This window comes from Homo sapiens, chromosome 15 (assembly GCF_000001405.40).
Source record: "Homo sapiens chromosome 15, GRCh38.p14 Primary Assembly".
NCBI lineage: Eukaryota > Metazoa > Chordata > Mammalia > Primates > Hominidae > Homo > Homo sapiens.
Genome location: NC_000015.10, coordinates 88135464 through 88148886, shown reverse-complemented (window position 1 = coordinate 88148886; position 13423 = coordinate 88135464). Strand labels below are relative to the sequence as shown.

General features: G+C 46.0%; 1 protein-coding gene and 1 pseudogene across 32 annotated transcripts in view; both read left to right on the top strand.

Moving 5' to 3' along the window:
* NTRK3 (neurotrophic receptor tyrosine kinase 3) overlaps window positions 1-13423 on the top strand; it is a 396989-nt gene that overhangs the window by 107853 nt on the left and 275713 nt on the right. For all 32 annotated transcript variants that reach the window (XR_001751292.3, XR_002957645.2, XR_001751293.3 and 29 more), the window contains 4 exon segments: window positions 1484-1552; window positions 11326-11483; window positions 12278-12420; window positions 12847-12988. Coding sequence is in view for 29 of the 32 variants with exons in the window: in NM_001243101.2 (NP_001230030.1) it covers window positions 1484-1552; window positions 11326-11483; window positions 12278-12420; window positions 12847-12988 (512 nt within the window). In the remaining 3 variants the exon portion in view is untranslated.
* Window positions 4722-4952, top strand: MED28P6 (mediator complex subunit 28 pseudogene 6; annotated as a pseudogene).

Genomic DNA, 13423 nt, shown 5'->3' with positions numbered 1-13423 from the left:
ATAGAAATCCTGGCAGCTCTACCTCTAACACCTATCTTGAATCCATCCACTTGATTATCTCCACTCCCTTCTCTTGGTTGGAAGACTGTAGCAGCTTCCTAGCTGGCCTGCCAACTTCCAGTCTTGGTCTTCTATTTTTTAAAATGGTAATTAGACTAGGTCACTTCTCTGCTGAGAACCATCCAGTGCCTTCCCACCACTCTTTAATATCAAATCCAAACTCCTCCCCATGGCCAGCAAGTGTGGCGTGAATGCCTCTCCCCCTTATCCCAAAGCACTCCTCACTACTTCCTGACTGGCTTCCTTCCTGGTCCTCTGGATCTCTCAGGCCTTGACACTTGCTACTTTCACTGCCTGAAACACTCCTCCCTTGGTACTCAGCTCTTTCTTCTTCTTGGCTCAGGCCTGATGCTACCTTCTCAGAAGGCACCTCTCTCTGAGCCCTCCGCACTCCTGTATCAGTTACTTACATCACGGTGTTGATACTCTTCCTTCTGCTTATTCATCTGTAACTTGAATATAAGATTCCAGAGGGAACTTCCCTTCCCCCTCAATGGTCAACTCCCTCATTCGTCAGTGTAGCCTCAATAAATATTTGTTGTAGAAGTCATCCAAATATAGGTGCGTGTGTAAGCATATGTGTGTGTATAAACAAGAGTCTGTGTTTGCCTTTAGTACCTACATGTTTAATAGACACAAGTATACACACATCGTGTTTGTGTGGATAGATATTTACCTAAATGGAATCAGCACTGCCATTTGTTCCCATCAGTAGATGAGTACATTGTTCCTGGGATGCCACTTCAATTCTAGCAGTGTCTAACTGCTGCCTTTAAGGGCTGTTATCACATCAAAAGTTGTTTGTTGAGCCTGGCAAAGTAATAACCGTGGGCGTGTTTCTTCTTTTATCCAGAAGACTAATGGCTGCTCCTTTCCCCTGTACATCCTAATGAGAACAATTAAATAGCCATTAGGAGGAGAACAGACGTGTGAACAAAAGGCTGATGTCTTGATCATTGGTGGGCATGTTTGCTGGGAGAGACACTGGCTAAAAGGAATTGTAGGTGACCTGCAGAGTTTTTTGACCTGTGTGCGTGTTAAGAATGCTAGTGGGCTTATCTACTCTGAGAACTCCCTGTCCTCTTAGAGAAGGATGGCTTCATAAAGGCTCTGTAAACTTTTATTGTGGGGAGGGGATATGGAAGAATGACCATGAGAATTTCATGGTTTCTTTGATTTGTAAAATCTTGCCCTTTAAAAGGCCTCAAAAGCCTATCCAAACCTGATCTATGCCCTCAGCTATTAGCAGATGTATCGCTAGCCTAACAGCATGAAGAAGAAGAAGAAGAAGAAGAAGAAGAAGAAGAAGAAGAAGAAGAAGGAAAACAAAGCCAGGCTCCAGTGAAATGATTAAGCTTACTACCTAGAGCATTATTTGTGCCAGACTTGTTTTAAAATTTCCCTTTATTTGTCAATCTTGCAGAAACCTGTCAAGTAACCGGCTCACCACACTCTCGTGGCAGCTCTTCCAGACGCTGAGTCTTCGGGAATTGTAAGTTTGGTTTTGAAGACTGTCCAGGTACTGAAGTGCTGGTAATGGGTGGATGGGGAGGAGTGTCAAGCAGTGGAACCACCTGAAGGCTGAGCATACATCTACTCGAAGAGCCTACTTGGGTTGGTTGACACAGAGTGTACCATGTTCAGTGAGAGCAATTAACCCTTTTGCTTGACTTCGGATGCTCTTTCTGGGCACAATCTATTTCAGAAGACAGGAGTCTCTTCTTTTATTATGACTTAGTTTTGTGATCTGTAGATAATTAGTTATAATAGTATAAATACTTATAATAAAGAATTTATAATAAATCACATTCATAATATATAACTTTATAGACTATTAGGCATGCTTTCATTTATATAACTTTAGATTTATCATCATAAGAGTCATAAGAGGTAGATATTATTATTCTCTGCATTTTATGGGTGAGGATTCTGAGGCTTAGAAAGACACGTGAGACTCAACTAAGATCACATTTCTAGGGCCTAGCCAAGCTGGGACTTGAACCCACACCTTTTGACTTCAAGTTACATGTCTTTTCACCACTCATAATCTTCTTCAGCTTATTTGACTTGAGTACTGGCATGTCAAGGGGTTTGGGGAGGCCATATATTTTTTCAATCTGCATGTGGACTGCTTAGCTTTGCTGTGGTCCAAGGCTGATCAGGGCACCCCTATCCCAGCCAGCCATTCTGCACAAACAAAGGAAGGCCAAATGAGTGAACATTCGTGACCACTGCTGGAAAAAATAACTCATGTTGATGAGTGATTCATCGGGGTCATCTCTGTGCATGAAGGACATCATATTATGTTGAGGGTATAAATCAAGGAATAAATTGAAAAGGAATTGAGGCATGGATCAAGTTAGGGAGTCAGGGTTCCAGAGACACCGCTCATGTGTTCCCTCTTACTTGGTGACGCAGATCCAAATTCACTGAATGCTGATTGCTTTACTCTCTTTACCAAGAGGCAATGACCTTGGACCTCTGCCTATGCTGTTGGCCTTTCAACTTGTTTTCCCTTCACCTAGCAAGACCTGACTTCATGGATGCATCAAAACCTTACCTTTTCAGACCCAGCTCTTGATGCTTTACATCAAGCATCCCAGTAGCCTATCACCCCATGATGACCTTGTGTACTGTAGGTGGAAAAGGTAAATTAACATGACTACTACGATTTACTACTAACACTGATTTCTGAGTTCTTCCTCTGTGCCAGGCATTGTGCCAAGCAATCTCTTAAGTTGTATACTTAATTTAATTTAATCCTTATGGCAATTCCTTAAGGTAGGAATTATTACTATCACTTCACTTTGGAGGACACTGAGATGCTTAGCAAGGTTAAGTATACTGTTTAAGGTCACTCACTGAATAGTGGCAGTGTGTGGACCCAAAGCTTTGACCACTGTGCTCAACTATCTCCCAGTGTTTTCAGTCTGTTTCCAACACAAGGATCTATTCTACCATAATTTTAAAAAAAACACATGATTGTGGTCTTTCTTAAGTTACCCTAGAACTGACTGAGGGCCTTGGGGGATCTCTTTCTTGGGTGTCTTGCATGTAATTATTCTGGAACCCGTAGTCCCTTCATCTCAGGAGGCCAGGGATGGCATCTCTCCAGGGGACATAGGGGGTCTGCTGTTGGCTGAATTATTGAGAAAATGTTCAGTGCTCTTTCTAAAAAATTATTGGATGTGAAATCAATGGTGTGCTGCTGCCCTGGTGACCTGTTACGTGGAGTTTTAGAAACAGTTGTTCCGTGGATATATATTTAAAGAAAATGTCAGATTTCTCCCAGAGGATCATGGGATTCTGCATTCATCTTTGCCTGGGATCAATACACCAGTGAGTTAGATGTGACTTATGGAGGAATGAAGACATTCCCTCCAGTGTGAGTCAGTGTGTGAGTACCACCATGTCCATGGTGTGTTTTATTTCTGTCATATTGTTAACTAAGAAAAAAATCATATTGGAGAATAAAGAAGCCCCCCTCTAAGGAGCAATCACCCTGGTAGGGGTCTATTTTTTGAAGAAGAATTGAATCTTGGGAGAGGAAAATTCATCTTTTGGCTGGAGGGGCCGCGTGTTGGCTCTTAGCTGTGGTTATGATTAAAATCCAAACAATCCCAGTTCCTGGCAAATGGAAGAGGGGGTAGTATTTTCTTGTCTGACTTCCTTATTAGTCCACATGGCGCCATCTGCCATGAGCCATCTAGACTGCCAGGGTCTGCTCGATGGAGCCTGTGGGCTGGGGCGTGGGGATGGGTTGTGTATTTCCAGGAAGAAAGAATTTTGGCCCTGGAGGAGAAAGGGCTCAGTGTGTTGTGGAGCCAGGAAAGCCACAGGCCAGAAGTGTGAGGTTTAAGTGACCCTCTGCAGGGACAGAAGGGGCAGAGGGTGTGCAGCAATTCCTTAACATGTTTCTTTCTGTCACTAAGGACCTCTGCTGTACCCCAACCAGCCCCTCGCCCAGTAGAGGATCCTTGCTGTAAGAATGGAAGGGCTGAGTGTCCATGACTTTTCCAGTAGGGCAGAAGGAGAAGGAAGAGGCACATCTTGAGCATCTAATGTGTGTGAGGTTCTGTCTTATCCTTGGAACAATCCTACAGGGAGGTAGCAGTGTGACCAGTGTTACAAATGAGGGATTTGAGGCTCGGCTAAGTTAAACAGGTAGTTCAAGATCACATGGCTAGTAAGTGGTATATCTGGGAATGAGTGTTATGATGTTTAATATTATCACTACCCCGATCTGCTGTTTCCAAAGACCAGGCTGTTTCTCTTACCTGACTCAAGCAACACACCCTACATGCTCGGCCTCTCCTTCCAGAAGCCCCTCTCAAGATGTCGGGTCCCTTGAGTGGAATCAAAGGAAAAAAAAACAAACAAGTTACCATCTCAGAGTTCCTGCAGTGCACCAAGACCCTTCCTCTACTTTCTCTCATTTATTTTTGTGGGATGAGGGAGATGGTCTTGGCCAAGCCCCTGACTCACAGCTTCCCCTCTGTCCAGGGGGGCGTACCTCTTATTGAGTGAATTTGAAGCATCTTCGCATCTTCCATGACTTGCATTGGAGTAACCAGCACAGTTTCAATGGCACAGGTTGGAAAAATTTGACGTGGCATTGTGCAGTGCTCTCAGAAGTTTCTGGTTATGGCAAGATTATTTTTTTTTTCCTTGCAGAGAAGATGAGACCTGTCTGTCCAAAAATCAGAGCAGGAATCAGAGAGATTGTCTTAGAGATAAAGAATGAAGTAGGAAGAAAAGAAGCTTAGATTCTGAATCTCAAGATACAATTTAGGCAATGGGAAGAGGTCTCAGAGGATGTAGACCTACAGCACAGAAACACTCCAGCAGTGCCCTAAGGATCCTTAATGTATCTTGAACAGGCTTCTCTGAATACCCTGCATGCATGGAGCAGACATGATTAAAATAGATTGGAGTATTTCATTTTCTTTTAAAGGAAAGTGATAATTACCTCTAGTATCATTTGAAGATTTAATCAGCTTGGTAAAATATTAACTCAGTAGCGGGGATGGGTTTGGGCTGGTCCTGGTGCATTTCTCTTCCCAGTCTTGGCCGTGATGACTTTCTACCGTTCTTGGAGACGTCACTAAACAATAATGTTACTAATAGTATTACTATAGTGATCATTTCTGGCCTCTTAATAGCTTCTTTTTGTTCCCAAATCATGCTAACATATATTATCATGAATCCTCCTAATAAATTTGTGAAGAAGGAAGGTCAAGCACAATGATCTCCATTTTGCTGGTGTTAAAAGAGAACCTTAGAGAGTTAAGTTATTAGCTGTATTCATTTCCTAGGCTGCGTTAACAAATTACCACACACTTGGTGGCTTAAAACAATAGAACATTATTGTTTCACCATTCTGGAGGCCAGAAGTTTGAAATAAGGGAGTTGGCAGGGCCACACTCCCTTCAAAGGCTCTGCGGGAGAACCCGTCCTTGCCTCCTCCAGCTTCTGGTGGCTCCTGGTGTTTCTTGGCTTGTGGCAGCATCACTTCAACCTCTGACTCCATCTCACGTGCCTGCCATCCCTGTCTCTTTGTCTTTAATCTCCACCTTCTTTCTTTTTCTATTTCATTTTATATTTTTGAGACAGTCTCACTCTGTAGCCCAGGCTAGAGTGCAGAGGCATGATCTTGGCTCACTGCAACCTCCGCCTCCCAGGTCCAAGTGATTCTCCTGCCTCAGCCTCCCAAGTAGCTGGAATTACAGGCGAGCACCACCATGCCCAGTTAATTTTTTTTTTTTTGTATTTTTAGTAGAGATGGGGTTTCACCATGCTAGCTAAGCTGGTCTCGAACTCCTGGCCTCAAGTGATCTGCCCGCCTTGGCCCCCCAAAATGTTGAGATTACAGACATGAGCCACTGCGCCTAGTATTTCTTTTTTAAGGGTACCAGTTATTGGATTTAAGGCCCACCTGAAATCGAGAGTGATCTTATCCCTTGATCCTTAACTTGATTACATCTGCCAAGACTCTATTTCCAAATTAGGTCACATTCACAGATACTAGGGTTTGGACTTGGATATATCTTTTGGGAGGACTCAACTAAACCCAGTGTATTCACTTGAAATGATACAGCTGTCCCAACTCAGATCTTTGGTTTGTGTGCTTTTCCTACCATCTGACTGTTGTTATCTCAAGGAGGCCTGTGCTGATGGCTCCATCCTTTGGGGATCCTTTTCTGGGTGACAGCAGGGCTGTCCTGGCTGATCTGGGTCCCCTCCTCATTTTCCACTGCCTGGCCCCAGGACTGTCACTGGAAGTGTTGATGCTGTGCAGGGAAGAAGAAAACCACTAGAGTGATGACCGGAGGGAATCAGTGTTTTCTAAATATCCAGTGGTGGCCTTGGCTGTGCTGCAAAGTGCCTGTCCTTACAAACTCAGATGGGGCTGAGTTAATATGTGGGGAGCCATCAGAGCCCTGCGATTAGGCCCCAGGCCATCTTGGGGCAAGTGCCGGGTGTTGGTAAGCTTTGCCTTGCAGCAGCTGCTGCTGTATTATTAATGCGACTGCCTGCATTATTCATGAAGCATGGAAAGCCATGCTTTAGGTTCCGCAGGACTGCCCCCAAAGTCCTGGCTAAAGGCTCCCCTGCTTGAGATCTGGTTCAATGGGAGGAGGGACACAGGATGGACAGCATCATTTAGATTTAGGATGTGCCGGTCTTTGCTTCTTGCCCACCTCACCATTTGAATCCTCTCTTGTCCGGATATAAAGACGATTGTGGATTTGCTCAGTGGGCTGTCTAGGGTGTCATTGTTTTAAGACTCAAAATGTTTTCTGCTGTGTGTGTGTCTTGTTCTCTTGGAGGAAAGTCCAGAAGGATGGGGGGAATACCCCACAGTTCTTTTGCAGTTTCCCATAAACTCAGTTGGAACAAAGGACCAGGTTTCAAGGTGCATCCCATCTGCTGGATCAGGTCCTGTAAGCAGGACCCTGGGGGGAAAGGATGGAAGGAAGCAGAAAATTTGTACAAAGCCTTTGCCTGGCAGCATCCTTGGCACATCCCAAACATCTCACCTAATTCTCTGGCCAGCCTCAGGACATTCTCATGCTGTCTGCCTTTGGGGGGCCATGAGATGCTGGGATGTGCAGCAGTGCAGGGACCAGACAGGAGGCAGCACAGCATCAAGTGCTGTGTGGCTTGCGGCAATGCAGCCAAGCCCCTCGCCTGTCTAGTCTTTTCCACCCAGGTGGATAATTTGTATTTTTACACCTACTTAATAATGAATGACTGCATCTTGTCAAGTGAGCAGCTGGGAAAACCAGGCTGACCTGGTTCAGTTCACATATATTCAAGCATCTGGACCCTCCTTGTCATTCTAGCAGGGTGGCCAGGCCTCTCCTTGCAGCCCCTGCAGTGTGAGCCCACACTGCTCCACCTCCTCTGGCCTATCTTTCCTGCATACACTGGGCAGCTCATCTGGCCTTCTGCTCTTCTTGTCATGAGGGTTACGTGAAGAAATGCGTGGAAGACATTTAGTCTAGTGTTGGCACTACGGCAAGTGCGATGCTAATATTATGATCCTATAATGTCTATTATGTTCGTCTCATTTTTTCCTGTCTACCTTTTCTCTTTTCTGTGTCTCATGTCCAGCTACACAGACATCTTGACATAACCCCAAGGCAACACCTCCAAGGCTTCTTGACTTGATCCTTCCCTTTCCCCTTCTAGGACCTTGGTCTGTCCCTCCCCAGCCTCACCCCCATCCCAACCTCATTCGTAATGTGTCCTCTCTTCCTTTCTGCTGGTTCTTTTCTTTCTCTTCTGTTTTCAACCAAAGACAGTTCTCCCTGCCGTTGATTTCCTGTCTCTTGGAGCTTAAAATCTTGGGGTCATCTTTTGCTTTTTCCTCTTCTTTTATCCCCTACAAAGCACCACGTACCATTTTGCCTTCCTTGTGATGTTAACTGGATCTTCTCTTCCCTCTCTCCAGTTTTTCCCACTCCACTCTAGGCCCATATTAACTAGGCAGCAGTTCTCAAGTGGTGGTCCAGGGTGTCCTGGGGGGGCCCTAAGACCTTTTCAGGAGACAATGAAATAGAATCTGTTTTCATAGTAACACTGAGCCATTATTTGCCTTTTTCACTCTCATCCTCTCATGAGCATACCGTGGAGTTTTCCAGAGGCCACAGGACGTGATAACATCATTGCTCTGATGATGCATGGAGTTTGTGCTAATGTATTCTGGAGTTTTACATCTTTCTCAGTGTTAATTTCTAATTGGTAGATACTGATAGATATGACTCACATAAACAACAGCTCTTTGAGGCCGTCAGTAGTTTTGTTTGAGAGTGAATGGAGTTCTGAAACCAAAAGTTTGAGAATTGACCTGGACCCTGCCAGTCTATATGGTGCCTATGTGTGAGTTAGAAAAGATGCCCCATCTGGGTGCATGTAGCCACGTGCCAGGGTTACAGCTGGGTCTGGCCAAGAGTGTACAGAGTGGATTTTATCCTCTGTCTATCCCTTTGGTTGAGTACTTTGAGAAATGCTCAAACTACACAACTGTACGTGTTGACCCTGTGTTTATAAGCAATCTTAACCAGCTTCTCAATCTCTAGTTTTCCTCCTCTCCAGCTTATCCTATACACTATTGTTGGATTTCTCTTTTTACAGACCTCTTTGTTCACATTGTTCTCCAGTTCTAGAGGCCTCAATGGTTTTCCCTGCCTCCTGGATGAATTCCAAATTTCCTGATGTGGCAGTAAAAGTCCTCTCTTATCTGGCTTCCACTCGCCCTTCCAGCTTTGTTTCCCAGCACTCCTTGACACATTTTCTGTCCTGCTAAGCCTTTCTTTTCTGTTTTCACACCTCACCTACAACTTCCCTTTGCCTTTGTTACTTCCTTCTACTTACCCCCACCCCCCACACTCCCCCCCTCCCACCCCAACATGGTCTTTGCCTATATGAGCTCCTGAAGTCAGGGCTCCTAGCTTGCTCCTCTCTGCTTCTCTCTTGCACCCAGCAATGCCTTGCACATGACAGATGGGGTGGAGAGTGCATGAGTTTTGAAGTCCAGCACACTGAGGTTTGAAACTGTGCTGTCTTGCACACCAGCCAAAGACCTTGCACATGTGACTTAACCCCTCCAAACATCAGAGAGGGCCCCTCCCTCCTTGCAGTTCTGACCATCTCCCAGGGTTGTCGTAAGAAGCAAATGCTCAGTAAGGGTTAGTTCTTTCCCTTCACCTTTCTGACAGAGTACCATGTGCAGAGAGTACTTTTAGGCTAAGAGGATGATACCACATAGGGGTATTTGCACATTCTGCCTCCGGTGTCCTAGTAACTAGAAAGCACTGATTCTTTTCCCCAGGAGCCTCACGTTTTCCTGAAAGCTGATTAATTTTGATGCATGCTTAACTATTTTGGAGTTTTCCAGTTGTCAAAAATATCCTAGGTCTTAGTGCGGTGTGCCCAAGTGCCCCTCCCTCTGGTTTCCAACAGATTCATCTCCTTGATGGTCCAGAAAGAGAATCATGTTTCCTCTAATGATCCAGGCATTCAGATTTATCCGGTGCCCTTTACTCTGAGTTTTGGATTGATTAATGCTGTTCATTGTCTCCTTAATAATCCCATTGAGAGGGGAGGTGACTTGCTTCAAGTCATAAGGAAAATCAGTAGAGAAGGAAGTCCTTGAAGGTGACTCTTCCCCTATCAAACATTCTTCTTCACCAGGCTGAGTGCTCCTGGAGGACAGGGACTGTCTTCTTCATCTCTGTGTCAGCAGCACTCAGCCCATGGCCAATTATGGAGCAGGTGCTTATTAAGAATTTATTGAATTTATGAAAGAATAAAGCTGGTCCCAGGATGGGCTTTGAGCATATCTTGGAAATAGATAACCACCTACTCCCCCAGGGACAGTCAGTCAGTCTCGTTCTCTCTTTTTCTCTCTTTCCTTTAACAAGAATTTATATGCCAGGCTCAGTTCTAGGTTAGGGAATGAACAAAACAGGCAATGTTGCTGACCTCAATGGAGTTTAATTTTTATTCAGGGAGACAGATAAACAAACTAATTAAAAATAAATATTTAAAGTGATGCCAGTAGTGATAAATTCTAGAAAGACAAATATAGCATGGCAAGGGACTGGGCAGTGTTAGACTGAGAGAGCCAGCCTTGTAGAGATGTTGGGTAAGAGCTTGGCAGGCAGTGGAAACAGCAAGTGCAAAGGTCCTGGGGTAGGAACAAACCAGTCAACAGGTGACCTTGCAGACACCAAGGTCAGTGTGGCTGAAGAGGAGGAGGGAGTGAGGGAAGATGAGGTCAGAGATGATGGAGAATGGTGCAGATTATTTAGGGCTTTGACTTTGATTTTCAATGAGATGGAAGGCCATTGGAGGGTTTTAAGAAGAGGAGCATCTCGAGCTGATATCTCTCTCTTTTTTCTTTTTTCTTGAGACAGAGTCTTGCTCTGTCGCCCAGGCTGGAGTGCAGTGGTGCAATCTCGGCTCACTGCAAGCTCTGCCTCCTGGGTTCACGCCATTCTCCCGCCTCAGCCTCCTGAGTAGCTGGGACTGCAGGTGCCCACCACCACGCCCGGCTAATTTTTTGTTTTTGTATTTTTAGTAGAGATGGGGGTTTCACAGTGTTAATCCGGATGGTCTCGATCTCCTGACCTTGTGATCCTCCCACCTCGGCCTCCCAAAGTTCTGGGATTACAGGTGTGAGCCACCACGCCCGGCCGCTGATATCTCTTTAAAAGGATCTCTTAGACAGTTGCATGAAGTGAGGTGGATTTCTTTATTTTTTATTTTTGAGACGGAATCTCGCTCTGTTGCCAGGCTGGAGTGCAGTGGTGTGATCTCAGTTCACTGCAACCTCCATCTCCTGGGTTCAAGCGATTCTCCTGCCTCAGCCTCCCGAGTAGCTGGGACTACAGGCGTGCGCCACCACGCACGGCTAATTTTTGTATTTTTAGTAGAGACGGGGTTTCACCATGTTGGTCAGGATGGTCTCAATCTCTTGACCTCATGATCTACCTGTCTTGACCTCCCAAAGTGCTGGGATTACAGGCATGAGCCACCGCACCTGGCTGGATTTCTTTTTTTAAAAAAATGAGTTTATTGTTTTAAAACTGCAATTTATGGACTTACAAGGATTTTTCCACTTCTTTTGTAACCTTGTTAAATCCCTTCTCCCCTTAATCCCTGAACAGGTCGGGTCCCCCTTGTCCTCATAGCCCTGGGAGGGTCCTGGGCCATCTTCGGTTCAGAGGTTCCCTTCCCCTCTCTCTTTGCCGACAGGCAGTTGGAGCAGAACTTTTTCAACTGCAGCTGTGACATCCGCTGGATGCAGCTCTGGCAGGAGCAGGGGGAGGCCAAGCTCAACAGCCAGAACCTCTACTGCATCAACGCTGATGGCTCCCAGCTTCCTCTCTTCCGCATGAACATCAGTCAGTGTGGTGAGTGAGTGGCCGCCTGGCCCAGCTGGCTCCAGGGAGGCATCCCTCAGACACCAGAGATGGTGCTGGACGTTACCTTGGGATGCCAGAGCCTTCCTTTCGAAACGCCCTCCCAGCCTTGAACTCTGCAGTTGTGTGCAGACCTCCTGACTCATCATTCCCCTTCTTGGTCATTCCTGTCCCTTTGTGCACGAGCCATAGGAAGACTGGTTTCAGGAATTCACACAGGAGTTAAATGTGCTCCTTCTCATCACACCAGATTCCCTTTCTCCCTGTGAGTTACCTGTCAACCAAACCTGAAGGAGTGTATCTCAAAATGTGGTCTCTGGATTCCCTATGGCAGCAGCTTCTAAGGAGTTTCTAAAAAAGCAGATTTCTGGGCCCAAACACAGACTTTGAGAATGTCTGGGGATGGGTCCCAGAAATCTGAATTTTAAGCAAGCTCCCCATTGGGAGACTGAAACACTACTATTCAGATAACCAGAGCCCAAAGTGTAATGATGCCATTGAGCTTAATTGCCAGAAATGCATTCCCTAAGCACTGCCCCCACCCCGCAACCTGCCGCTGCAATGTGGGAGACTGCAACTGCATGGGCTTCAATTCTGAGTTCTGATGTCTACTGGGGAGGTGATGTAAAGCGTCTTGGATTTGCGGGTCTTCCAAGAACTCAAGCAGGTGGTGTTAGAGTCATTACTGGGCAAGGCAAGAAGTGCCACCATCAGCCCCATGGACAGAGCTTCCTTTGGGTAGTAAGTGTTTGCCTGTCTTTTCACCCACTTTGTCTGGCTCCCAGACCTTCCTGAGATCAGCGTGAGCCACGTCAACCTGACCGTACGAGAGGGTGACAACGCTGTTATCACTTGCAATGGCTCTGGATCACCCCTTCCTGATGTGGACTGGATAGTCACTGGGCTGCAGTCCATCAACACTCACCAGGTAGGCATCCTGGGCTTCAGCCCCATCAGGAGGCTAGGGAGTGATCACACTGTAGTCTTGAAGAAGAGGGAAAATTTGCGGTCTTGTTACTATAGGAAAAAACACATAGACTTGGGTTACATGCAGCTGCAATATTTTCTAGCCATTTCGCTCTATACATGCTACTCAACTTTTCTGTAACTTAGGTTTTGCTTCTGTAAAATGGCCATAGTACTGAACTACCGTTCACCTCATAGGGTTAATAGGAGGATGGCCTGAACTATTGCCTATGAGGAGCCTGGCATTTGGCCAGTGTGCTTTCACACAAAGATCTCCTTCGCCTTCCGCTCAGCTTTCCTTTTGATTCCTAAAGGTATTTGGGGATTAGGTAGCAGAGCCATCCTTGTAGAAGCTATCTGATTGTTATCTTTTTATTGGGGTTTTCAGACCAATCTGAACTGGACCAATGTTCATGCCATCAACTTGACGCTGGTGAATGTGACGAGTGAGGACAATGGCTTCACCCTGACGTGCATTGCAGAGAACGTGGTGGGCATGAGCAATGCCAGTGTTGCCCTCACTGTCTACTGTAAGTGCATGTTATTGTGGGGGATGGCTGTGTGTGAGGGGCAACTGGCATAGGAGGCTGGAGAGGGGCCAAGGTGTTGTCAGGGGTGAGCTAGAGCAGTGAGCTGATCTACCAGTAGGGACAGAAGGACTCTTGTAGGGCAGGACTGAGAAGTAAGTCCTTGGACTAAAAACCCCAGAAAGAGCACCTTTGTCCCTCAGAAGATGGTGTGGCTCCAAGTCAACTACATCTTCAGGACACTTCTAAGTTGGCCTATTCTGCCTTTTATGAAACCCCTAAGAGGTCCCAAGAGGGAGCCCTCCAGCTAAGGTGGATCTAGGAAGCTTGCATAAAGACAGACATCTCTTCCCCTCTGCTGGGATTGTGGTGGGACTTCTGCTTCCCTCAGCCTTTTCAGAGTGGGTGGGGAAGAACCGGGATTCCCATTTTAGTTGC